Here is a 26713-nt window from a genome sequence, read left to right as displayed (position 1 = left end):
ATAAGATTATGACGTATCACATGTTTTTTAAGTGTATGATGGAGTAAAATTTTGGTATTTTGCATTTAAATCAACTTTGGGTTAGTGGCATTAATGATAAATATTTGTCTGCTTGGCATGTAGATTTAAACCAAATTTAGATTCAGACTGCAGATTGGATGTCCCATGCAGAGTTAACCAATCCAAATGTTACAAATATAACAATGTAACAATGCCGAGAGAAAAGAAACTCAGTAAGGGGGACACCATTGGCACCCAGGGGAGCAAAGACAAAGCCAAAGAACCTGGACAACTGCCACTGAGAGGGCCATGAGAGGAGATGTGGGAAGTGCAAAAAAGAAAAATTAGATGACATGATTTCTATGCTTGGGGAAGTTTTACTGTATATGTCAAGAACAGCTATAGATAAGGAAAATAATTAAGAACAAAATGGAAGTTTTAGGATCCTAAAGTATTTTTTAAATTTCTTATATAAACCTTCAGCTCAAAAAATGCATATTTACAAGTTGTAAACAAGCAGCTGTTTTGTGTTTCCCATTCTGTCATATTGTATTCTCTATCATAGGATGGAAATAAAACTAGAGCAGTCACCTAGCAAGTATAATCCCCTTGAGGGAGTCAAGGATGAAGGAGGATTAACCAACTTGCTCAAGGGCACAACAACTAGTAAATAACCAAACTACATGTGAACACAATTCAATTAGGGTGAAAAGAACATGTCAACAGTCAGCTACCAACAGCAAGGTGGCTCATAAACCATATTTCTGATAAAGAAAATATTTATCTATATAAAAATAGTGTGTATTCTGTTTATTGAGAGATAGGCAAATTTTAATTTTTAATGGTAAATATTACACAGAGCTCTATTTGAAAGCCTTATTCCTATAGTTATTGGGTTTAAAAAAATTATAGTTTTTAAACCAATTAAGATTTCATTTTCAATAAACGGAAATTCAGAGTACCTTCCTTCCAGTACATCTCAAGAAACAGTGTCCTAGTTAATAGCAATTGTTCTTATGCCCTTATTCAGGTTGTTATGTTATTTTAAACTCACAACTCATGTACATCAGGGAAACAGAGTGTGTCTAAGGGTACCCATAGAATAGGATCTGGAGAATGGTGAGGAGGCTAGAAGGCAGATTGAGCCTGCTTTGATGAAAGTAGGCCCATTTTTATATATTTTGTATATTGAAGCTCTATTTTAAGTTTTGTTTGAACCATGAGTACAAAAAATAAAAATAATAGCAATAATAATTTAAAAAATATCAATATTATTATGAGATTAGCTCTTCAACACAACACTTTTCAACTTCAAAATTTTATAAATGGGTAAAGAGATTGTACCTGTATACACCATGGAATTCTATTCAGCCATAAAAAGGAATGAGATCTCATCATTTGCAGCAACAGGGCTGGAATTGGAGGTCATTATGTTAGATGAAATAAGCCAGTCATAGAAAATAAAATATTGCGTGTTCTCACTCCATATGTAGGAGCTAAAAATGTTGATCTCATACAGATGGAGAATAAAATGATGGTTGCCAAAGGCTGGGAAGGATTTTAAGTGAGGCATGAAAAGAGGTTGGTTAATGGGTACAAAAATACAGTTGGAGAGAATAAATAAGATCCAGTGTTCAATAGCACAGTAGAGTGAATATACTTAACAACAGTGGATTAGTCAGGGTTCTCTAGAGAGATAGCACTAATAGGATATATGTATATATGAAAGGGAGTTTATTAAGGAGAATTGACTCACGATCACAATATAAAGTCGCATGATAGGCCATCTGCAAGTTGAGGAGCAAGGAAACCAGTAGTGGATCAGCCCGAATCCCAAAACCTCAAAAGTAGGAAGCCAGCAGTGCCCAAAGGCCCAAGAGTCCCTGGCAAACCACTGGTGTACATCCAAGAGTCCAAAAGCTAAAGAACTTGGAGTCTGATGTTCTAGGGCAGGAAGCATCCATCACTAGAGAAAGATGAAGGCCGGAAGACTCAGCAGGTCGGCTCTTTCCAGCTTCTTCTGCCTGCTTTATTCTAGCCACACTGGCAGCTGATTAGCTGGTACCCACCCAGACTGAGGGTGGGTCAGCCTCTCCCAGCTCATTGACTAAAATGTTAATCTGATTTGGCAACACCCTCACAGACACACCCAGGAACAATACTGCATCCTTCAATCCAATCAAGTTGACACTCAATATTAACCATTACAAATAGTTTATTGTATATTTCAAAATAAATATACTCAGGAAAATATACCCTAGTTTAAATCTCTTATTATGACTGAGTGTATCTCCTTGTTCTGTAAATAAGCAGGACACTATTCAAATACTAGTTTTTTCCTTTACCAAAGATTCCCCCCTTCCTTTCTTTTTACTCCTTCCTTTCTTTGATCCTTCTTCTTTCCTTTCTTCCATCCTTCTTACCTTTCCCCCTTTTATGTTAATATATAAATAGATCAAAATTGTAAAATATGAAAAATATATAAATTTAAAAAATAAAATCCACTTCTCTATCTATGTCTTTCTCATACATTAACACTGCCTAACATTAAAATGAATGAGCAATGAGTATAATTGATTTGGACAATTGTATTGAACCCCACTTGCAAGATGTGTTTGCTGTTGAGTCCGCCAGGGGAGATGGCCATGTTCAGCTGATCTTTTGCTGCTGCTGCTAGCGCTTTATAGAAGACTCCTGAGAGTGATTGTTCAAATTTGGAAAATTAACCTATAGTCGTGATTAATAATCTTAGTATGGAAAAGATAGCAAACAAATTACAAATAATTTATACTACACATTTTTAAATTAGGTTTGGGCCTTTGTTTTTTTTCAAGGTCTGCTCCTGCATTTTTTTCATTTCTTTATTCATTTATTAACACATTCATTTTCCTCTATCTTATTTTCCCATTCTGCTCTCCCTTCTGTGAACAACTATTATAATTTATGAGATGCTTGGTATTTATTCATAAAATATGTAATGATTTATTTTGTGCGCGTGTTATTTAAATCAACATAAATAACATTGCCCTATAGGTCAGATCCTGTTTCTCACTTGTTTTTAACTTGGCAAAGACTTCAGGATGGATCCACCTTCTGGTGTTAACACCTGGTATGGTCTGTTTCTTCCAGCCTCTGCCAAGTATTTTCATCGTGAGCGTTCACAGCACTCTCAATGCTCTCAATGCCTATTTCTCTTGATACCTCCACCTCCTCACAAATACATACCCACAAAGAATTTTTAGGTGATAGAGTATGCATATGCTTAATTTAACTACATTCTGCCAGATTGCCTTCCAGAACAGTTGCACTCATGTGCATTCTCATTAAAATAATTACATGTTAATAAATTGTAAATAAGGGGTTGTTTTATCTATTTATAGTCACTCAAGGTCACCAATCCCACATTCCAATCAACACATAGCATTTTATGGTTTTCAAATATGTCCCAATATGATGACAGTTAGGTAATATATTATGGCTTCAATTTGCACTTTCTAATGACTAATGAATCTGGGGTTTTCTTCATATACTTGCAAAAGTTTTGGAACTTCCTCCTGTGTGAATGATCTTTATTTTACTAATTGCTTAGATATTTCCAATTGTTTTCTAGTAGACTATCATTTTTATTAATTTTTATAACACCATAAAATGTTAGACATAAGCAAAGGTGATGAATTGTGTAGTGCCTACCACATATGAAGTGTTAGAAAAATACATGTGGAATGAATAAAATGAACAGACGTCAGGAGCTTTTGTGTGGCATATGTTTGGATGTAGAGTAACCTGTAAGATTTTTAACTAACTGAATAATTTTAGTCAGTAAGATGTTTTTAATGTGATGGTAAATATTAAATATAGATCAAGAAATAACATGAAATTTTGTATTATAAAGAGAGGAATAGCTTTTGCCCATTTAAGGAGCATACAATATTAAGTAATCCTAGAGGTTATGAAAACATATATTTGATAATGTTTTATGTTAATACTAAGTTCTTGAATTACCTAATTATTGTCTTTTTCAGTGTTTAGTAGCCTATTAAGCAAAAGACTTTGCAACAAATCCTATCATCGATGCTACATATTCAGCAAAACTCCAGACTGTCTTAATTTCCTATTAAAAGCTATTAAAGGCCAGGCATGGTGGCTCACGCCTGTAATCCCAGCACTTTGGGAGGCTGAGGTCAGTGGATCACTTGAGGTCAGGAGTTCAAGACCAGGCTGGCCAACATGGTGAAACCCTGTCTCTACTAAAAATGCAAAAACTAGCTGGGTGTGGTGGTGGGTGCCTGTAATCCCAGCTACTCAGGAGCCTAAGGCAGGAGAATCACTTGAACCCGGTTGGCAGAGGTTGCAGTGAGCCAAGATTGTGCCACTGCACTCTAGCCTGGGTGATAGTGCAAGACCCTGTCTCAAAAAATAAATAAATAATAATAATAATAAGCTATTTAAATAGGTACTTTCAAGGAATTTAAGTCTCATCTGTGTACTTTCATACCTGAAATTTGTAGTAATTTAAATGTAAAGAAAATATAAATGTTTACTTATAATACTAAATAATACATATCATAATTCACATGGGTAATATTTTCCAGAAAATCTTTCTAAAACGCAGTGTGAAAAGCTGTTTTGAGACTAAAAATGCTTATATTCAAACCTATTAAATGACAAGATACATTATTGAACATCCACAGATCATAATAATTTTCAACAAATTTTGCATGCATTTTAAATAGTTTATATAATGTTACAATTAACAAATATTTTTCATATATATTCGAAATGCCATATTTAATTTTCACAACTACTAGAACCTCTTTTGAGATAAATAAGGAGCGATTTGTTATACCTGTATATCATTCATTATTTTAATATGGCTCATAGAATTTGTAGGAAGATAGACAATAGAAAAGGAAAATATTATTAAATGACTGTGTTCAGTGGTCATCTTCCCTATGGTGTCTCACTGTAGGCAACAAGCAATGATAAAAGAATTGTCCCATTCTTTTGAACTACAGCACTGAAACAACTAGGGTGGGAAACTGAGGTGGCGCAAAAAGAATTTCCATTGGTGCATTGTGGTATGGAGCAGATCATGTAGTTTATGGTGTCAGGTGTATATCCAGGCGAGACCCTAGTTATCTGTATAATTTTTTAAGAGATTTTATTAACCATACTAGTTCTTTAGAAGCATTTTTTTAATTTTACAGGATAATTGTTTTGTAAATTTGCCCTTTTATTTTGGGATGTGAAGAATGAACAGGTAAATTCAACAGAAAAAGCATGAAAATATGTGACTATTCCTTTTCATAGTATGTGCTCCTGCAGAAATGTGACAATGAAATTTCTGAAATATAATAACTTTAATTTGATTGAATTCAAAATCATCTGTTTATTAATGTACTCTTCCTCCTTATTTAAAAAAAGTGCTTTATTTTCCTCTTTCAGCGTGCTATATTTTTATTTAGTGTTGTTGTCACTGTCTTTTACATAATTTTCTCATTTTATATGTACAACAGCCTGGGATTGTTGAAATAAACCTAAGGCCCATCTGAAGATAAAGTTTCCTTGGAGTAAGTTATAGAAAAGTCATTCTTGTTTGTGTTATTGTGAGCCTTTTTATGGAATTCTTTTACCATTTGACTATAGTGTAAAAGTTTTTCCTTTACTTACTTGCAACTGGTAATATGCTTTCTAATATATATCATAATCATCAAAACTTTTAAATATACAATCATGCCATGTTTAGAATTTCCCATTGGAGCCAATGATGATCAATAGGTAATTTCACATAGGCATCTGTGAAGCTCATTAAAAACCTAATGGTTCAGGCCAGGCACAGTGGCTTATGCCTATAATCCCAGCACTTTGGGAGGCTGAGGCAGGCGGATCATTTGAGGTTAGGAGTTTGAGACCAGCCTGGCCAACATGGTGAAACTCTGTCTCTACTAAAAATACAAAAATTAGCCAGGCGTGGTGGCGCACACCTGTAATCCCAGCTACTTGGGAGGCTGAGGCAGGAGAATTGCTTGAACCTGGAAGGCGGAGCTTGCAGTGAGCAGAGATTACACCACTGCACTCCAGTCTGGGCGACAGAGTGGGACCTGTTTAAAAAAAAAAAAAAAAAAAAAAAAAACTAACTAATGGTTCAACAACATAATTGTGGTATATAGACATTTTTCTCAAATAAAGCTGGTGAAGTTCACAAATATTTGAGCACTATCTTGGATGGGTTCATCTACTGTACCCAGTTCACATAGCTGCATGTCAGGACAATGTGAATCATGCCACACGTGGACCCCTCAATGATTTTGACAGGTCATATAAAATGGACCAAAGGAGCTAGATGTAAAATATTGAAATATTAATTATGTTACACTTTTCTTTTTTCTATGAAATTATCTTTCTAGATAGAGAGGAAAAATGAAATGCCCTGACCAGGTCAGGCCAGGCCAGCTACATAATTTACAAAACCCAGTGCAAAATTAAAATGTGGGTTCCTTGTTCAAATGTTACTAAGAATGTCAAGATGACAACAGCAGAGCATTAAACCAAGCATAGGCCTTTCTGAGCACAGGGCCTTGTACTAGTGCACAGGTCACAGACCCCTGCAGCTGCCCTTCCTATAACATTCCTGCTATTCCTCAATTCAGGGATGTCTGGCATACCGTGAAGAAAAAGACACGAAGTGGCATTCTGTTTCATCTGGACAAAATAGAAGCTACAACAGTTTCTGAAATGGAGAAATCCAAATGACTTTTTTCTACTGCTCCCATTTCATGATAAAGTACCAAATACATTCTTCTAGTAGCTTGTTCCCCGCAGGAAAATTATATTGGGGTTTCTAATTGTTTGTTTGTTTGTTTCCTATACAAAATTGGTCTGAGCAATATATATTCAATAATGTTTTTTATGGCAGTGTGAACAGAATGCATGCGTTTGATAATATTACACAGATTTTCAAAAGCAAAATTTTGCATGTTGTATTAAATATATTTTATGTGTTCAGGTAAGTTAATGAGATCAAACTACATAATGGTTTTGGTATTAATGTTGCAGAGAACTTGGAACTGATGTTCTCTAAAATGGTGTGCTGAGTTGACTTCTAAATGCAAATAAATGTCTTCAATGCCATATGTACCCAGACTAGAGATAGCACACGTTTGATTTTATATTCAAATTTGTCTTTCTAGGGATGCAAGTATTGGAATGGAATGGAATTCCCTTGACTTCTAAAACATATGAAGAAGTTCAGAGTATCATTAGTCAGCAAAGTGGGGAAGCAGAAATATGTGTAAGACTGTGAGTTTTTCCCCATCTTTCTGTTTCCATTTTTTGGCTATCCATGACTCTTTTAATTTAAAATTGTTAAGGTGGAACCTTTGCCAGTTAGCAAGATTTTCTGGAATTATAAAATAAAGTGAATCAAAGCCTAAAGCATAGAAAGAATTCAGCTAACTTAGTTTCTGATTGTGTCAACAGCCTCTTCCCTTTCATGCTTTTATGGAAACATGCTTCATTTAAATGAAAGCCTGAACCCATTTAGATTTCATGGATATGTATTTAAAAATGAACTTACATTTAATTCATAAAGATTTCACCTTAAATAATCATTTTTATCAGCTCTGACTTTTAACTGCATTGCAAATATATATTGGGTTAGGATGGTAGGCATGCTTTGGAGTTGCTTTATATCATTAACCACTTCTCATTTACCTATGAAAAAAATTAAGGGTAGTTGGAAAAAAGTGCTCTTTGTCTCAGATTTCCTCAATATCTTTCTTAATGTTTTGTTTTAATTTTTAGGGACCTCAATATGCTATCAGATTCTGAAAATTCCCAGCATCTGGAACTTCATGAGCCACCAAAAGCTGGTAGGTAAAAGAAATCTAGTTTCAACTGTAAATAAAGAGATAGAAATAGAAGTAATTGCAGAGGCAGATGTAATTGTAGATGAAGATGTAGACATAAACACAGATATAGACAAATATAAAGTTATGGATAGATTTTTTTATGTATTTATATAATTATAAACAAAATCTAGGGCATTGTAGCTACAGTGTTAGCATTCTGGGGAAATACATATTTGCATGTTAGTCCCCTTAAACAAGTTCACGTAAAATCCTTGCTGCATGAGTTCACAGTTTTAATTCTTTAAATATGAATTCATCCTGTGAAAGTAATGCTTGGAGCCATTTCATTTTGGTTTTACATAATTTTTAGAGCGTACTTGATTCTTTTTAGAATAACTGGGTTTTTGAAAAAATTATTCCTGAACTCTTTCATTGCCTTTTTATAGTAAACAAAAATCAACATGTAATTTCATAAGTACATGATGAGATAGATTTAACTCTTTCTTGAATAACAAATATAATCTACAAATTTGTTAAATCCATTGTAAGATTAAAAACATCACTTTTTCCTATGTTTAATAAATTTTGTTGAGCACTTCCTACTCTGACAGCCACAATTCTAGTAGTCTGGGTTATTGTACTAAGCAGAATAGACCAAGTGCTATACGAATTTTAATACATTTGTAAATATAAATAAACCCATTAAAATTTTCCCCTTAGAAAATTTTCCCCTTAGAGAAAGAACTATGTAAAATTTAAGGAAGGAAAAACAGCTAATCATACAAATTAAGTTCCAATGGATAAAATAGGATATTGCATCATTCAAACAATTCTTTATGTAAAATATTAAAAACATTTTTCTGAAGATGCAACGGGAACTTCACTATTCCTCTGTAATTCAGCATTATGTCACTCTTCTCAGAGCCTTGTAGACTTCCTTAGAAATTGATACATAAAAGTACAATAGAGTTAATTTCATTTTTAAAGTTTAGCTTATTTTATAGGTAATGTTTTACCTTTGTCACCTAGAACTCACATAGTTCCATGGTATAAAGTACCTATGAAATGGAGAAGTATGTAAATCTCTTTCATTTTGTTGTAGTGGATAAGGCGAAATCCCCAGGGGTTGATCCTAAGCAGTTGGCAGCAGAACTCCAGAAGGTTTCACTACAGCAGTCACCGCTGGTTCTGTCATCAGTTGTTGAAAAAGGATCTCATGTTCATTCAGGTCCTACATCAGCAGGATCCAGTTCCGTTCCCAGCCCTGGGCAACCAGGGTCCCCCTCAGTGAGCAAAAAGAAGCACGGCAGCAGCAAGGTGAGGATTGTTGATGTGACCTCTGACCCACTTGTTTTCTAGCTCTTTATTCAGCATAGAGACAGAAAATAAAATATCATTTTCTAAAGTATTTTTCTTATGATTTCTCATTTCCAGATGATCTATCAAAACAAGAAACATTTTTTCTCTTCTGAGTACAAAACTGATCAAGATGTATCAAGATGATGTATTTCTACATCTTTTAAATATTTCAGTAGTTATTATGAGGAACTTGAAAAATGTCTCTGATACTTTATATTTTCTGGTTCTCTTTGTTGTTGCATGAATCTGAGATACGTATATAGAATATTAGCTTTGCATCTTTTTGGAACAAAAGGTACATATTACATTAGATTTTATAATTAAGTAAAAAGTAAAAAGGACACAGTGATAAAGAAAATTTAAGACAATAACAAACAAGGAAAACCAGTAACATGTTATCACTACTTTGAACTTTATCCTCAATTCCATATTAAGAATTTTTTTATTGATGCAAATCTTCATTCGAAACAAATGCTTCCAATGCTATTGTTTCAAAGTGCCGGGGAATTTAAAAAAGCATAAAATTATTTTTTAACCTTATAAAAAGCAGAGGAAATATACAAAATTTATGATTTCCCTCATAGATTTGATTCTTAAGAAAAACTATCCCTGTAGTTGATAAATACATGCGAAAAAAGTGTCCTTTTGTTTAAAAATGAATAAAGGTTTGTCTTTATGTGGTGAGATATATGGGAAGGACAGGCTGTATATGCTTAGGTCAAGTGACCAGACATAAAAAATAAAGTTTGTTTTTTAACTATAAAAATACAGCAGATGTCACCAAAAAAAGAATCCTTTTATTCAGAAGCAAACAACAAAAGTAGGTTGACCTTAATCATTGCATCGTAAAATGATTTGTTTGAAACTAAATATAGAAAAGCTTCATAAGCAAAGTAATTTCAAAGGCAGTTAGGCTAAATTTTAAAATAAATTTTAACACAACTACATTTTACCACAAGCAATTATGTGCTAATTTTGAATAATTACTTTATAGAGGCTCTATTTTGATAATCATTTAAAAATAATTCATAAACTAGCCAACTAAAATACCAACATAATTAATACTAAATTCTGTTTTGTAGATGTTTCTATGTTATAAAAATACAATTTGAACATATTTGAAGACAACTTCTTTTTAAATTAAGCAATTAACCATCTCATGCAATATTGCTTAGATTTTTAAATTTTAAATTATTTTTAATTAACAAAACTTGTATATGTTTATACTGTACAGCATGATGTTTTAAAATATGTATACATTGTGGCCTGGCATGGTGGCTCATGCCTGTAATCCCCGCATTTTGGGAGGCCAGGAGAGGCAGAGCACTTGAGACCAGGAGTTCGAGACCACCCTAACCAACACAGTGAAACCCCATCTCTACCAAAAAATACAAAAATTAGCCAGGTCTGGTGGCACATGCCTGTAGTCCCAGCTGCTCAGGAGGCTGAGGTGGGAGAATCACTTGAATATGGGAGGCGGAGTTGCAGTGAGCAGAGATCACACCACTGCACTCTAGCCGGAGGGGACAGAGTGAGACTCTGTCTCCAAAAAAAAAAAAAAAATGAATACGTTGTGGAATGGCTACATTGAGCTAATTAACATGGATTACCTCACTTATTTTTTTGTGGTCCGAACACTTGAAATCTACTCTTCATTCCTCTGAAATATTTGGCTTAAAAAAATTTTTTTTAAATCTACTCTCTTCACAATTTTGAAGAATATATACATTTACTATTAACTGTAGTCACCATGTTGTATAACAGAGCTTTTGACTTCCTTCTAAGAGAAGTTTGTACCCTTTGACCATCATTCCAATCCTTCCTTTTCTCTTAGCCCCTGGTAACTACCATTCTTCTCTATGCTTCTATAAGTTCAACTTTGTTAGATTCCACATATGAGTGAGATAATGTGGCATTTATCTCTCTGTGCATGAATTATTCCACTTAACATAATGTCCTTCAGGTTTATCCATCTTGTTACAAATGACAGGACTTCCTTGTTTTTTAAGGCTAAATAATATTCTGTTGTGTATATGTAACACATTTTCGTTACCTAATCATCAATTGATAGACACTTAGGTTGGTACTATATCTGGGCTATTGTGAATAATGCTGCAATGAACCTGAGAGTGTTGGTATCTCTGACATACTGATCTCGTTTCCTTTGGATATATGCTCAGCAGTGAGATTGCTGGATCATATGGTAGCTCTATTTTTAATTTTTTTGAGGAACCTCCATACTGTTTTCCATTATGGATATATCAATTTACATTCCCACCAACAGTGTACAAGGGTTCCCTTTCTCCACATTCTCACCATCACTCACTATCTTTTTTCTTTTGGATAACAGCCATTTTGACTGGGGTGAGTTGATATCTCATTGTGGTTTTAATTTGTATTTCTCTGATGATTAATGATGTTGATTTTTTATATACCTCTTAGTCCTTTGTATGTCTTCTTCTGAGAAATGTCTATTCCAAATCTCTGCCCATTTTTAATTCAGGTTATTTGTTTTCCTGCTGTTGAGTTGTTTGACTTTCTTGTATATTTTGGATATTAACACCCTGTCAGATGTACGGTTTGCAAATATTTTCTCACATTCTATAGGTTGTCTCTTCACTCTGTTGATTGAAACAATCAGCAGAAGCTGATTGGCTATGCAAAAGACTTTTAGTTTGTTGTACTTCTATTTTTTATTTTTGCTTTTGTTGCCTGTGCTTTCGGAGTCATCTCCAAAAAAATCTTTGGTCAGACCAATGTCATAGAGCTTTTCCCTTATGTTTCTCTCTAATAATTTTAAATTTTCAGGTCTTATATTTAAATCTTTAATCTATTTTGAGATGATTTTTGTATATGGTGTGAGATAAGGATCTAAGTTTATTCCTCTGCATGTGGATGTCCAATTTTCCTGGTACCATTTATTAGAGAGACTATCCTTTGCCCATTATGTGTTCTTAACATCTTTGCTGAAAGTCAATTGACTGTAAATGAATGTATTTATTTGGGGGTTGTCTATTGTGTTCCATTCCATATGTCTGTCTGCTTTTAAGCCATACCATGCTGCTTTGATTACTATAGCTTTGTAGTAGATTTTGAAATCAAGTAGCATAATTCCTCTGGCTTTGTTCTTTTAGCTTAAAATTGCTTTGGCTATTAGGGTCTTTTGTGGCTGTAAATGAATTTTAGGAATGTTTTACTAGTTCTATAAAAATTTCTTTGGAATTTTTATAGGGAAAGTGATTGAGTGGGTGATTCACTCTGGAAGGGAGCAGGGAGGTGCTGAGCATTCAGCAAAGAAGTGAAAGAAGGACTTTTCTACCTTCTGTGCTCCTCGGCAGTTCTTGTATTAAACCAATCTTTTATTTGTTGAATGTATTTTAAACATTACTGTATAGATCTTTAAAACCTGTAGATACTTTAATTAAGTGCTTTAAACCTAAAGTGTTCATTTTCTTAAGTAATTGAAAATACTGCTGGTATAAAATTACAGCTTCAAAGCCGGCTTACCAAAATGAAAAATAGATTTATGCATCTGTAAAATTAAATGTGTATTGAGAACCGTAAGTAGACACCATTATTCTGAAGCAGCCAAATGGATAAAATATATTTTCCAAGCAGTTGCTCTGACCAAATAGAAACTAATTTCAGAAGGAAGCCGAAATGATAAATTATGTGAAAAATGTATCTATTAATGTAATATATGTTCTTTAATATTACAGCCTACCGATGGAACAAAGGTTGTCTCTCATCCAATTACAGGAGAAATTCAGGTATGAAGTTTTTTAAAAAGTCGCCATTATATAACCTTTTTTGGTTGTTTTGCCACTGGTTTGTTGAAATTGTAAACACACTGTTAGGATTTTTCTTATTCTGTAATATATACAGAACTGTAAAGGAAAAATGCAATTTTATAGAATAGTATATTAATACAAATATATGTTTTATGAAGTCCAATCATAGCTATGTATTTCTATACTTTGAAATCTGCCTGATATCTTAGCAGTGTCAACATGTTTTGTGCCTCAGTTACTTTATATTTGTCGAATGTATTTTAAACATGACAGATTCTCCTGGAAATTTGAAGTTTCCTCTTTAAGAGTTTCATGAGTCTACTGGGATTTTTTCTTCTTTTAATCAAAAATTGCTTTAAAAATTGCTGAATAGTTTTTGTAGAGAAGTATTTTTCATAGCATAAGTCATAACTGCTTTGTAACTTATAAAATTAATTTTCATCAGGAAAATAAAATAAAAATAGATAAAGAAAAATATATAAAAATAAAAAGATAATCATCTTTTTAAATTCTCTCTGTGTTTTGATATTTATATATTTCTGATTGTGGGTCATAGTAAAAATAAAACTTTAAAACCTGCACCTTAGGTGATACCAAGAAGTAATTTAGACTAAATAAGAAATAGCATATAGAAAGAATTAACACTATAAAATAGTAACTAATTGAAAACAGTATGTTTCAGATGAAAGAGAGTCTTAGCTGCATCTCTAATACATTCTAGAGGAAATTTTCACAAAAGACTTCACAAAGGATAACAGAAACTCGAATTAATTTGAAGATAAGCATAAAGAAAGGGAGATTATGTTCCTGGAGAAGAAAGAGTACAATTAAAGGTATTGTTGTCCGAGAGTAATGGTTGAAGAATCAGCTTCGAGAAGTAGGTTAAGACTAAATTAAAAAGAAACTTGAACACAATCCTAGGAATGTTAGCCACTACATAATATACCATGATCTCTATTTTGGAGTAAGAGAGAGACTATTTGAAAAGAATGTGTAATAAAAATTCATATGGCAGTGACCTACAAGAAATATTATAAAGGGAGGACATTGAGGCAAAGAAATCAATTAAGTGATTATCCAGGAACCTACTACAAAGCAGAAGTGGAGTGTGAGCGTGGAAATGGAGAAAATGTGCAGAAGGTTGACACGTTACTAAGAACAAACTAACAGTACTACCCTGATGACCTCTGTACTCCAGATCCGGCTGTTTCTCTGCTATTTCCAACTTCCAGAAAGCCTGTTTTTCACTGACTTGATCTTTCTTCATTTCACAAACAGCAAAGAAAATGCTAGAATTTCTGATTCTTAATAGCCTTCTTTCTCTTTCCTACTATTTTTAAACTTCTGTCCTTGGACTAGTGTTTCTTTTGGACTGTGTTTTTTGTTTTTATTGTTGTTGTTTTTTCTAATTTTATTTTGCTTTCCCTTAAGGAGTAAGATGTAATTCTGTAGTTGAAATTTACCCTACTATTATTCCTTCTTAATTTGGGGGATATTTTCGTAAGGCAGTGATTTCAATTATTATTATTATTATTTTATTTTAGCAAAGGCTCATTTCAAATGAAATCTTATGTAGACAACCAAACCATGAATCTATCAGCACTGGAGTCGCTGTGATTGAAGATTGCTGGGGCATCCCATTCTCTCTCAAAGCTGACCCTGAGTAACTCTAGATGTTCCCTAAGGCCATACAGAGCAAATTTTGAAAAGCACTCTCTTCGGGTGGCCTGCAAGTTTTCATTTCAATAAGAAACGGTTTGGGTGCTTCATCACTTAAAAGTGGATTCTAAGGCTGGCAGAGAAAGGAGAGAATGGGGAAGTGTTTCTCCTTAAATAAAGATCAGGAAGTTGTTTGAAATTTCAGTGGTATTAATTACAGGTTATTTTATATTCTGTATTTCAGTACCAGATTATAGCATACAGTTGCTGCATGATGGCATAGAGTTCTAAACTTCCCCTTTCTCCTCTTCTTTAATGGTACTTTGCTTTCTTTTTCACTGTGCTTTTATTATGGTCAGGGACTCTAGTCTTTTCTGGATGGAGATAAGCAATTGAATATGTATTTTCTGACAGGAAACATAATAAGATCAAAATTATACTAAAATGAGGATTTATTTCATTATGAAGTTTTACAGGAAAGTATGACTCATCTGAGTTATCCTATTTTAAATATAAATGCAGCATATCTGTTTTATATGGATTATTTTAAAAGTTAGTATCTTTCTATATGGATTTGCCCTTTGAAATATGGATCCCTTCCACTCTATTATTTAACAAACAAAAGTAACATCAAACAGAATTAAGCTTTATTCTAAATGATGCCAAAAGAGTCTTTCAATTGTAGAAGAAAAAAATGCTTAACTCAATTATTTTGAATTATGCAGTTTTCTCAAATATTTGTTTGAATTATGTCTTTTAGTATTCAGCCACAATTGTGCAGCAGCCAATAAGCATCTATAAAGCAATGTCTCTTCTTTTTTCAGCTTCTAAAATTAAAAGAAAAAAAGAGTATTGTAGTATCTCACTCTATTAGGAAAGCTGGTACCGAAAGGTATCTATAGGTTTAATATCAGATAATATAACATTAAAAAGTAATAATCTGTGTATTCTTAAATATTCTTACATTTCAGTGCTGACAGCTTTATCTTTAAATGACAGTTCCACCCCACTGCTAATTATTTGGCAAAATGCAAATAATACTTTATAATAATTTACCAATTAGTTAATTTCTTTTCAAAATTCTAGGAATTGTTGTTAATAAACATTAACAACATTTACTATTTTCCTAAGAGTAGCAATTTAATTAAAAAAGATAACCAGCATTCTACCTTATGATTTTCCTTCTAAATAAACTTTTAAACAGGCCAGGCCTTTTCACTGTGGAAAGAATGAACAGCATGTTTGCTAGGAATTAAAATATGCCTGGGAGCTCTCAATTAAATTAGACATTAACTGGTCTGTTTGGTTTCAAATAAAATGAAAATGAAAGTTGATGCTTCTTATAAGAATTTTCTTTAAAAAAAACTAGTAAATATTGAATGATAATGTATAACATGCTTTTAAAAACTTATGGAATATTTTTCTCTCTCCTAAAGCTTCAAATTAACTATGATCTTGGAAATCTCATAATACATATTCTCCAAGCAAGAAATCTTGTTCCTCGAGACAACAATGGTTATTCTGACCCTTTTGTGAAAGTGTACCTTCTTCCAGGGAGAGGGTAAGTAAAATTAAGAAGTACTTCATCTCATGCTTTAAAACAATAGTATAGTATTTTCTACTCTTTAATTTCCACACCTCATTTTAATTGACTTTATTATCTTTTCCTTACTTTCCTCCACATGTCATATTTATTTATTTCCAATTAGTAGATAAGGTGGAATTAAAAACTTGTAATTAAGCCTTACAGGGTTGTAGAAGAACAGTGATCATAATGAAACCAGCCTCCAAGAGAGCAAATCAGCCTTTCAATTCTGGAAACCACTCCTGTGATAACTATCAGATTCACTATGAAATCATTTAAGGAATTATTTGTGTCAAAGTTAAAGAATTGGCTTACCTTCCCAAATTTATCTGAGAAATCAATATTCAAGGACTTACAAGTTACTGTTTATTTTTATAGGACATGTGTATTTTCCATTATGTTAGTGTTGATTAAGTGGCTTCTTGATGTATCCTTATTTATACACATATTTCCAAATCACTGATTTAAAAATTATAAAATAGCACAAAGTGATATTTGAAGTATTGACTTTGGTAAATAAATAAAAAATATCTCTTTGAATCTCTTGTGTGATGTATAAATTGTTGATATAAGCAAGTGTTCTTTGGAGATATTTAACTTTCACATAATGCAAATTGCTGTGTTCTGGTATATAAGTCAGTACTCAAGGATAGTTTCAAAGCACTGATTTGAACCCTACAAATTATTATCCTTCACTTGAGCAATTCATATCAGCCAAATTAGCAAGATGGAAACATAAGATCAACAAATGGAGGTAAAATAAAAAGAACTTTGAGTTGGTAATTTAAAGAAACTGGTTTTATTTTTTATTCATTTTCATTTTAATTTGTGGAGTGATATTTGAATTTTCCTTTTAACTTGGAAATTTTCCATTGTGGTACACAAGTAGAAGGAATAATTTGACACACCATGTACCCATCACTCAGCCTCAACAGTTATCACTTAGTGACCAATCATGTTTCTTTTCCTCATACACTCCCTTAATCCAGATTACTTGGAAGTAAATCCCAGCTATTATAATTATTTCTGCAAATATTTTAGTATATATTTCTGAAAAATAAAACTCATTTAAAAATAGCCTTAATACCTCGTATAAGCATAATTTTAAATTTTTCAAATAATTGTTTGGTTGCCTCTTAATATTTTCCTAGCTGGTTTGATGATCTAATTGGTATTTACAGAATATACTACCCATCAATAGCAAATTACATATTCCCTTCAAGTACACATGGAGCATTCACCAAAATAGACTGTTTTCTAGGACATAAAATAATCTGTGGCAAATTTAAAAGCATTTTAATTATATGAAGTGTATTCTTTTACTGTAGTTGGTTTGTTTAAACAGGATCCAAATTAGAGCTATACACTGCCCTTGAATCTGCTGCTTAGTATTTATATCACCACAGGCAGATCACCAATTTCTTTGAGATTCAGTATTCTTGTCAACCCTGAGAGCCGAGGTAGGCAGAATCATCATTTTTAGCTTGTCAGGAGAACCAAATTAGATAATACTCAGAAAATAATTTTTAAATTGCCAGGTGCTATATCAAAGTTAGTTCACAGCTTTTAATTTCATCCTTCTCAATAATTTTATTTTAAAAACTTGGAATTGTTGGTATGGTTGCTCTAGTTTTACTTTATTGAACATTTTGAAAAACCAATAATTTTATGTAGAGATTACCAATAGTCACATAGTATAGGAAAAGGTAGTTTTTGTTTTATGTTAATTCATTTATATCTATATATAGTAGTTGTAACTATAATTTGGCAATATCTTTTAGAGTCTAACAACAACAACAAACTGATAACTTCATTCCGCCTTTGATTTATTAGACCTTCAATGTTATTTATGACAATATTATGATACAAGGGGAAATCACTGCCAAGGATTTGTCTGTAATAAGCATTTGCAAATGAAAGAATGAAAATAAAGCATTGTTGTTTATATTCTATATTCTCTAATGATATCCTGGAATATCATCTTTTACACAATATGGGAGTATCTATCTTTTATTTATTACAGGATATGTGTCAATTAGAATGTTACAAACTTAAAGAACCAGGAAGGACAGGCAGGTAACATGAATCTGTCAGTCCATTCTGGGGTAAGCAACAAGGAATGGTGGGAACCATGGTGAAATGGAGAACAAATGCCCCACCTAAAGCTATCCTCATGCAATTTGTCAAATAAAACGTCCCTACTTGGTGAGGTTTGGCTCAAAGGCAGCTAATAAGCTACCCCTATTCAATTCCTGGGTCTTTCTTTTAATCACACTCCTAATTATTAGACAAGCAAAGGCCTTGGAATGTATTACACTTGCAAGGTATTATTTTCACTGTAGTTCTAGCATTTTCTGCCTCATGTCATTTATGTTATGGGATAGCTCCTCTAGTTATTATTTTCATGTTTTCTTTCTTATTTCTGTTCCTAACTATTTTCTTCCTGTCTTTTCTACTTTCCTGTTTTACCCCTTCACTCTCGCTCTTGGAATCAATGCAGTCAAGTCATGGTTGTCCAGAATGCAAGGTAGAGTTGTTTCTCTTTCAGTGTCAAGCTCTGCTGCTATGTCTTGAATTATACTTTTGGCATTTTTATGTACATTCACTGGCACTTCAACATGGGCTGTAACTTATATTTTTCTACATGTTTGTATCTATTGAATCAGCACTGCGACAAATTGTTCTGAGCATATTTCTAAATAGCTTTAGCAGATGTGTGCAATAGAACACAGAAAAGTAGAAAATATTAAAAGCATAGAAACAATGAAAAAAATATTATTACCATGAAATTAGACATAACTAAAGTCTCATAATCTATTCACTAAAACTCATTTAGCTTCTCACATAATAATCATGATTTAAGTTCTCGAGTCTTCTATTAAAAATATCTGTAGCCATTTTTCAAAAGTAATTAATGGGTCTTCTGGATGTCCAGTGCAGGTGTATATCCCATCAGGCACGGTGGCTCACGCCTGTAATCCCAGGACTTTGGGAGGCCGAGGTGGGCAGATCACAAGGTCAGGAGATCGAGACCATCCTAGCTAACACAGTGAAACCCCGTCTCTACTAAAAACACAAAAACTTAGCTAGGCATGGTGGCGGACACCTATAGTCCCAGCTACTTGGGAGGCTGAGGCAGGAAAATAGCGTGAACCTAGGAGGTGGAGCTTGCAGTGAGCCAAGATCGCACCCCTGCACTCCAGCCTCAAAAAACAAACAAACAAACAAACAAACAAACAAAAAAAAAGATAATAGGTGTTTGAACTTGGTCCCTCACTTGAACCTAATGTTGAAACATTTTCATGCCTTTGTAACTTCTGCCCCACAAAATTTCTGCTATGCAATGTAGGATGCCATAATTGGCTTGCTGTAGTATATTAGCAATAAGTTAATCTTCCTTTGTTCCCAATAGTAGGAGCGTTTTCTAATACAGCTCATGACAAGTTGCATCATTACACTGTCAACTAAGACAATTTCTTAGTACATAGCCAAAAGCATTATTTTGCACATCTCTCATTGCATTATAAATTAAATGTGTCATTTAGTTGGGAAGGCAAATCATGTATGATCTGTAGCAATAGGGTGATGGGAATTTTAATCCCACCCAGATTATTAATGGTACAGCATTCGTTTTTGTCTATGACATTAAAATTTCACATATTTACTACGAATGAACTGTTTCCCAAATGAGGCTGTTTCTGATTTTTAAAAGCATAAATACGTAAATATTTCAAACAATAGGATTTGTTACCACAGCCTTGCTATTGCCCAGAAACTTTTTGTTTCCTTACAGCCACATAATTATGGCAAACAATGTAACTGACGCTGTGATAGATTCCTTGTTATGGCTGGTTCTCTCATCACAGAACACAATCCAGGTATCTCAGGCTGATATGCAAAATTAGTTTTGTTTCAAAGAAATAGTGTTATTTTTAGAACAGATATTATTAATCACATTATTCAGAATCTCCCTATCTTTTATATATAGAAACTTGGGGAAAATTATCAGAATGATAGAGATTGTATTTAACTTATAAAAGAGAGAATATTTTATAAATTATAAATAATACCATGTCTTAAATAACTATTTAAAAGATCTAGAAGCTACTTTCTTATATCTTTCATCTAGAAATCACTTTCACCATGTCTTTGAGAATTGTCAATGTAAGAGGGAATTATATTGACAAGGTACTGACATTGTAAGTTAGACTGTGGAAGCCAATAAGTGAGGTCCTTAAGAACTTGCGTTTGAATTTTAGCCCTGTCACTTAGAAGCTTTAAGATTTCTCTAAAACTATTTTATCTTCTGCAAAATAGGAATAATAACAGCTCCCTTCCCAGGCCTTCTGTGAAATACATGAAATAAATACATCAAAAGTGATAAGCATAATGTCTGGAACATAATAAGCTTTCAATCAATAGTAGTTGTTATTATTATTGCTAGCAATGTGTATCATACATTTTTTTGCGACCAGTGGTTGGTTATCTCTGCAACAGAAAGGTACAGAATGCTTGAGCTTCTGAATTATACTAAATTATTTTAAAATACTATATAGAAAATTAAACAACTTTTCTTTAATATTAAAATGTAATACATCTTTCATTCTTAAATTTAAAATAAGAGTCCTGTTAGCTAGTTAAAAAGTACACTGATTTGGTTTCCTTGTCTCCTTTACTTTTTTCTTCCCACCCTCTGATCAATATACTCAAACTTTGAGGGGCAAAATGTCAGGCAAGATAAGGTGAGAGAATGACTAGGAAAAGGTCTGGGTCGTGCGTGAACTCAATACTTCCTGTTGGATAATTAAGAAATGGAAATGAGCATATATGAAGGGCCTCGCTCTGGTTTTCTCTCATCACACTGTTGAGCGAAGTGAAAATATTTTCTCATTACTGAGATTTTGTTATGAATATAATTATTTTTAGCTATCTTTATACCTGGAAGCCCAATTCCTGGCTGGACCTTTCTCTAAACAACATTGGTATCCTATCAAACTATTTCCTCTGGGACCTGTGGAAAGCAGGTACAGGTGGTGTGTGTATTTACAATATGGTGTCCAAAATTTATTTTACTTCAGTAGATTTTAAAGGAAAACAAAATACAAGCATGTTCTAAGGATCACTGAATATTTACTTAGCACAGACTATGTGTCAGACACTGTGCCAGGTGCAGGGGTTACAATTGACAATGTAGCCATATAGTCTCTGCCATCAGAGAGCAAAGAGGAAAATAAAATGATAGACAATAAGCACACCATCGCACTATTAAACAGAGCTTACAAAATGGGATGCAAGTTGTATTTTTTCTAAATTAAGAGAAATAACCTCAGAGGAGTAATTTTGAAAAACGTGTGTGTGTGTGTGTGTGTGTGTGTGTGTGTGTGTGTGTGTGTAGTAAGTTTAGTAAAGGAAAACCAGATAAATCATTAAAAATGAATACTTTCAATGTTTTAGATAATTTTATGAAAGTAGATACACCAAAGAAGCCTTCAAATTTCATTATCTTTTCTCAGTTTTTCTTTTGAAATTAAAAAATATGTACATGGAAACTGTTTTCCTGCTGGTCTTGAGTAGAATAATTGAATTTCAAAAATTTTTTCAGACAGCCTTAAAAGTATATATACCTATGCATGACAAAATGACCAATAAAAACAAATAAAAAAATAAACCACCAGCACTTTGGGAGCCCAAGGAGGGTGGTTCATGGGGTCAGGAGATCAAGACCATCCGGGCTAACATGGTGAAACCCCGTCTCTACTAAAAATACAAAAAAAATTAGCCGGGCATGGTGGTGGGTGTCTGTAGTCCCAGCTACTCAGGAGGCTGAGGCAGGAGAATGGCGTGAACCCAGGAGGCAGAGCTTGTAGTGAGCCGAGATTGCACTGCACTCCAGCCTGAGCAACAGAGCAAGACTCCATCTCAAAAAATAAATAATCAAACCAACAAACAAGGCAAAACTTCAAGAGGGTGAAGTTTTAGATATTTTTTGATAAGCACCATGTCCCATCTTTATGTATTGACCTTTTTATTTTCCCTTATTAATAAACTTCTTTAATTATTAGATATAATTGTCCTAATTGTCCTAATGTTAAATCATTAATGTAATCTTCCCACAAGAGAATATAGTGTGTTTACTAGACAAGAAAGGAAAGGGAGGATGAACTCCACTTATTTCTCAGCCTGACTTTATGCTCACATTTAAGAATCCCCCTGTTTACCTGCCTACCTTCAACTCCACAGATTTTGATATGACTATTTTGTGTAGAGTTTTAAATTGTGTTAGGTGGCAACACAGTTCATTGAAATTGTGTATGATATGATCAGAGCATGGTAGTTATAAAACAACTGTTATTGAAGAATGGCTTTGTGTGACCAGCTCTGCATGTCAGGAAATGCAAGGGCAAAAAATACTGCAAAGGCTTTCATTGGTGTTTAGGAGCAAGCTGTTTTTACTTTCATTAATTCTAAAGGATGTTTTAGGTCTGGAGAGAATTGGAGAATCAAACTCATTACTATGATTAAGATACTCTATTAAAATGAACATTTTAACTTTTGTCCAATCAGTTTAGGTTATTTCTAAATGTATCTGGCCAAACATCAGTATTTACAATAAGTAGGCGTAATTGTTCCACAACACTCACTTCGGATGTACTATTCAGAATTTCCCTAGGCAACTCTAAAGAAGGCCTAACTTGTTCACGATGTTTATAATGCGTGTCTACACACATTATACATAATTTATATTATATGTATAAAAATTATGTATTTAAATTGAGATGGAGAATTTTAGATTATAAAGAAGACAAACTAGATACTTCAGGTAGTGAAGCCTGCAATTAAGAAAATAGATGGATGTCACATTTTATGATGGGCCTAATCAATTGAGTTCATATAACATTTATTTAAAAGCAAGAAATCAAATTACCTATGTTTGGATCCTGGTCCAGTTAATAACTATGCAACTTTGACAATACGCCTTAATTTTTCTGAGCTTCAAGTTTTCTCACCTATAAAATGGAGTAAGAAGTAATACCTGTATAATGGGGTTAATATGAGTATTACATGAGTTAACACATGAAAAGCACTTAGAACTTTACCAGAGGAAAAAGGAGGCATTTAATAAATGTTAGTTATGATTTTAATATGCTTACTTTTAAAAATGCTTTTCATGCATGAATTAAATATATACTCATATGTCAATACAATTAAGGGTTTTTTAGTTGATAGACATCTACAATTCCTGATACAGAGTTGGCATTCACTAATTTTTGCTAGGTGTATAAGTGAAAAAAAGACTAAATGTGGATTTGAAAAATTTGAATAACAATTATTCACATGTATGGATTAAGAAAAGATAGTGACTGATAAATCCCTTCAAAGGTATTTTAATACTACTTCAGACTATTTTAATATGTATTGGCAGACCCAGAATTTTAGTGATAGTACATGGGTTTGCATTTGATATTAATTCCCATCTTGTTAAACAAATTATGTATTTTTTAGAACTTAAAAAACATAATTTTATTACTGTTCAGTGTATTATAAATCTTAATATGGTTTCCATAACCTCACCACCTTGATAAGTAAGTCCAAAACAGAGGCTTTAAAACTCATACTACCATGTGTTTGTTTCCTATGTATATTCACCTATGAGAATAGCCATGATTCTAAAGTAGCAATCCAAGTTTACTATTAACTTAAAAGTCGTCACTAATTCTTTCTATGTCACTATCAAATTAAAGTTATTAACTCTTTCTATGTATTAATTTATATGTATTATTTCTATGTAGACACTTTTTTGTAGACACTAATTCTATCACCATCAAATTAAGTCATTAGTTCTAAGTCACCATCAAAAAAAGAATCCAAAACTAAATTTAAAGGAACATATCTTACTAAAAATTTTTGAATTTTTCATTATAAAATATTTCAAGTTTACTAAAAATTATAGAAAATACCCTAACAAATACCTGTGTGCTTGCTATCCAATTTTGTCAAATTTTAAGATTTTGCTATATTTGTTTTAGATTTTTTAAAAGATAATACCCTGAAGCCCTCTGAAATCACTTCCCTATCCATTAAAAAACTCACTAAATTGAATTTAATATTCATAATTTACAAGTTTTCTTACGATATTAATATATATGTATGTCATATATACATGTATATATAATGTGTAACCTTATTTCACATGATTTTATGTTTATACCATTATACCATACCATATTAAGTTTTTGATCAAAACTTTTTTCAAGATGTATCTATCTTGACATATGGAGGCTTTTAAAATTTAATTGATTTTCAGTGCCACTTACTATTTCATTGAAATGAATATATCACAATGTATTTATTCGTTCTTCTATTGGCTTACTATTGAAATAATGTTGCAATTAATGTTCTTGAACAAATTTCTTGTTCACAGGTAGGAGAATTTCTCTATGGCAGAAGTGGAATTAGTAGAAATTGAATATTTGGATGTTTGGGTATATAAACTTAAACTTCACTAGATATTGACAAATTTATCTAAAAAGTATATATAGAAACTTCCTATCCATAGTCTATGAGAGCTCCTCTTTCTTTAAATCATTGTCTGTATATTTCCCTAAAATTCTTTGTAATTTATCTTGAGTGACAGCTGTCAAATTCTGCCCTTAATTGTGTACATTCAAATAGGTTGAAGTGCGAGGAATGCTGCTTTATTTCTTCAGTTGGATTCAGCTCACAATGGCTGACTTGTGAAGTGTTATGAAACACCAACTCGGTGCTTCTTAATCTTCGCTACATATTAGATTCACCTGCGAGCCTTCAAAAATCCTAATACTCAAGCCTCATCCCAGACTAATCAAGTCAGACTTTCCTTCGGGGAGTAAGCAGGGGCAAGAGGGAAGTGGGTGGAGGGTTGACTGACCCACCTCCCACCACCAGAACTCAGGTGATCCCATTATGCAGTCAATGTTGAGCGTTATTTCCCTTGTATCTGACTGGTAAGAAAATAAAATCAGAGATACAGGGAAAGTACTTGCCTGCAGGCCCATCTTTAAAAGTGAGTGGTGAGCTGGAGTTTGATCCTCAATAGCTTTCTCTACAATGTATAGGTAAATTAGTGGCTGGGGAAAATTTCTAGGCATCCAGGATATGGCAATACTTGAGACCAGGAATGTAGCAAGAGTTAGTCTGGCTATAGTTTGGAATAGAACTACAGATTACAAGAGTCAGGGTCCAGCCCCCTTTTAGGGAAAGGCAACTTGTGAAATCCAGACACATGTCAAGACCCCCAGACAGAGAGGTTGGTTTACAGGACTCTAGTGCCCACCACAGATGAAGTATTATTTAGAACGTGAGACATAAGCTTGGGCAGAAAATTCAGAAAAAAGCAGTGAGAGTTAGAGAAAGGCCTTGTCTGTGTGGGCACCATTTGGTAATAGCAAGTAACAGTAATCTAATTTCAACCCCATCAGCAGGTTGGTGCCAGCTATAGATGTTCTGCCAGACTTCATTAGGATAGGCTTTGAAAATAAATTGTTTTTAAATGTGTAGCATATAAGCTTCTAATTGGTGCTCAGAGGAAATGGAAAGTCAAGGATTAATGCAGATGTCCCAAGTTCTAATAATTGAGGAAAGATTTTTATTTGGTTCATCAATTGTAAAATAGCATATTGACATAAACCAAAAATTTATATTTAATTAAAATTGCTTTATAACTGCATTAAATATACTTTACCAAGAGTGTTGGAATATACTTTAGATATCAGTAACAAGTGTTTATGGAATGTGAGCCACAGCAACAGCCATTCTTCATCTTTTTCTCAGTACACTCATTACAATGTTTTAGTTTTGCTTTTCCGTATGTACAAAACTATAGTAAGGTTAAACACCAAATTATTGTTTATGGGGCAGTAACATTGATGTTACTATTTAGTTCATGTAATTATCTCCTACATTCAGGAATGAGCAAGATTTCTGAAATTATAGTATATTTAGAACACCTACAAGCATTTCTTTAAAAAAAAATCATAAGGGCAAAGAAAACTACAAGCATCCAACATATTTTTAAATTGTCACTGTGCATTCAACTTAAACTAAGGTTTAAGACATGAGGATGATGAGATAATTATATAGTGATTTGAAATAAAATATCTTGAATAGTCTGCATGTCCTTTAGTTTAACTGTGAAGTCATAAACTAAGGTGAATAATCAAGATAACTCTTTCTTTTCTCCCAATTCAGTGCTGAGTACAAGAGAAGGACTAAACATGTCCAGAAAAGTCTTAATCCTGAGTGGAATCAAACAGTAATTTATAAAAGTATTTCCATGGAACAGGTATGTCAAGATTATTTCTAGGTGACAGAATTAGGCTAATATAAGTACAGTGATAACACAATTATTCAAAAATTGGGATCTGTATACATTTTGCCAATCAAACAAAAAAAGTTGAGTAAAATACATGTAAGAAATGTAGCCAATGGAA

General features: G+C 33.1%; 1 protein-coding gene across 7 annotated transcripts in view; it reads left to right on the top strand.

The window, feature by feature from the left end:
* PCLO (piccolo presynaptic cytomatrix protein) overlaps nucleotides 1–26713 on the top strand; it is a 408873-nt gene that overhangs the window by 308447 nt on the left and 73713 nt on the right. For 5 of the 7 annotated variants that reach the window (XM_017012006.3, XM_047420211.1, NM_033026.6 and 2 more), the window contains 7 exons: nucleotides 7191–7299; nucleotides 7804–7871; nucleotides 8953–9167; nucleotides 12929–12979; nucleotides 16096–16220; nucleotides 18745–18771; nucleotides 26472–26565. In XM_017012006.3, the coding sequence (XP_016867495.1) occupies nucleotides 7191–7299; nucleotides 7804–7871; nucleotides 8953–9167; nucleotides 12929–12979; nucleotides 16096–16220; nucleotides 18745–18771; nucleotides 26472–26565 (689 nt within the window). Of the gene's footprint in view, nucleotides 1–7190; nucleotides 7300–7803; nucleotides 7872–8952; nucleotides 9168–12928; nucleotides 12980–16095; nucleotides 16221–18744; nucleotides 18772–26471; nucleotides 26566–26713 lie in introns of those variants that run through there. The other 2 variants (XM_047420212.1, XM_047420213.1) reach the window with 2 other exon arrangements.

The sequence above is a fragment of the Homo sapiens genome, chromosome 7, assembly GCF_000001405.40.
Source record: "Homo sapiens chromosome 7, GRCh38.p14 Primary Assembly".
Lineage (NCBI taxonomy): Eukaryota > Metazoa > Chordata > Mammalia > Primates > Hominidae > Homo > Homo sapiens.
Note: the sequence above shows the minus strand (reverse complement) of the source record. Positions and strands in the feature narration are given on the sequence as shown.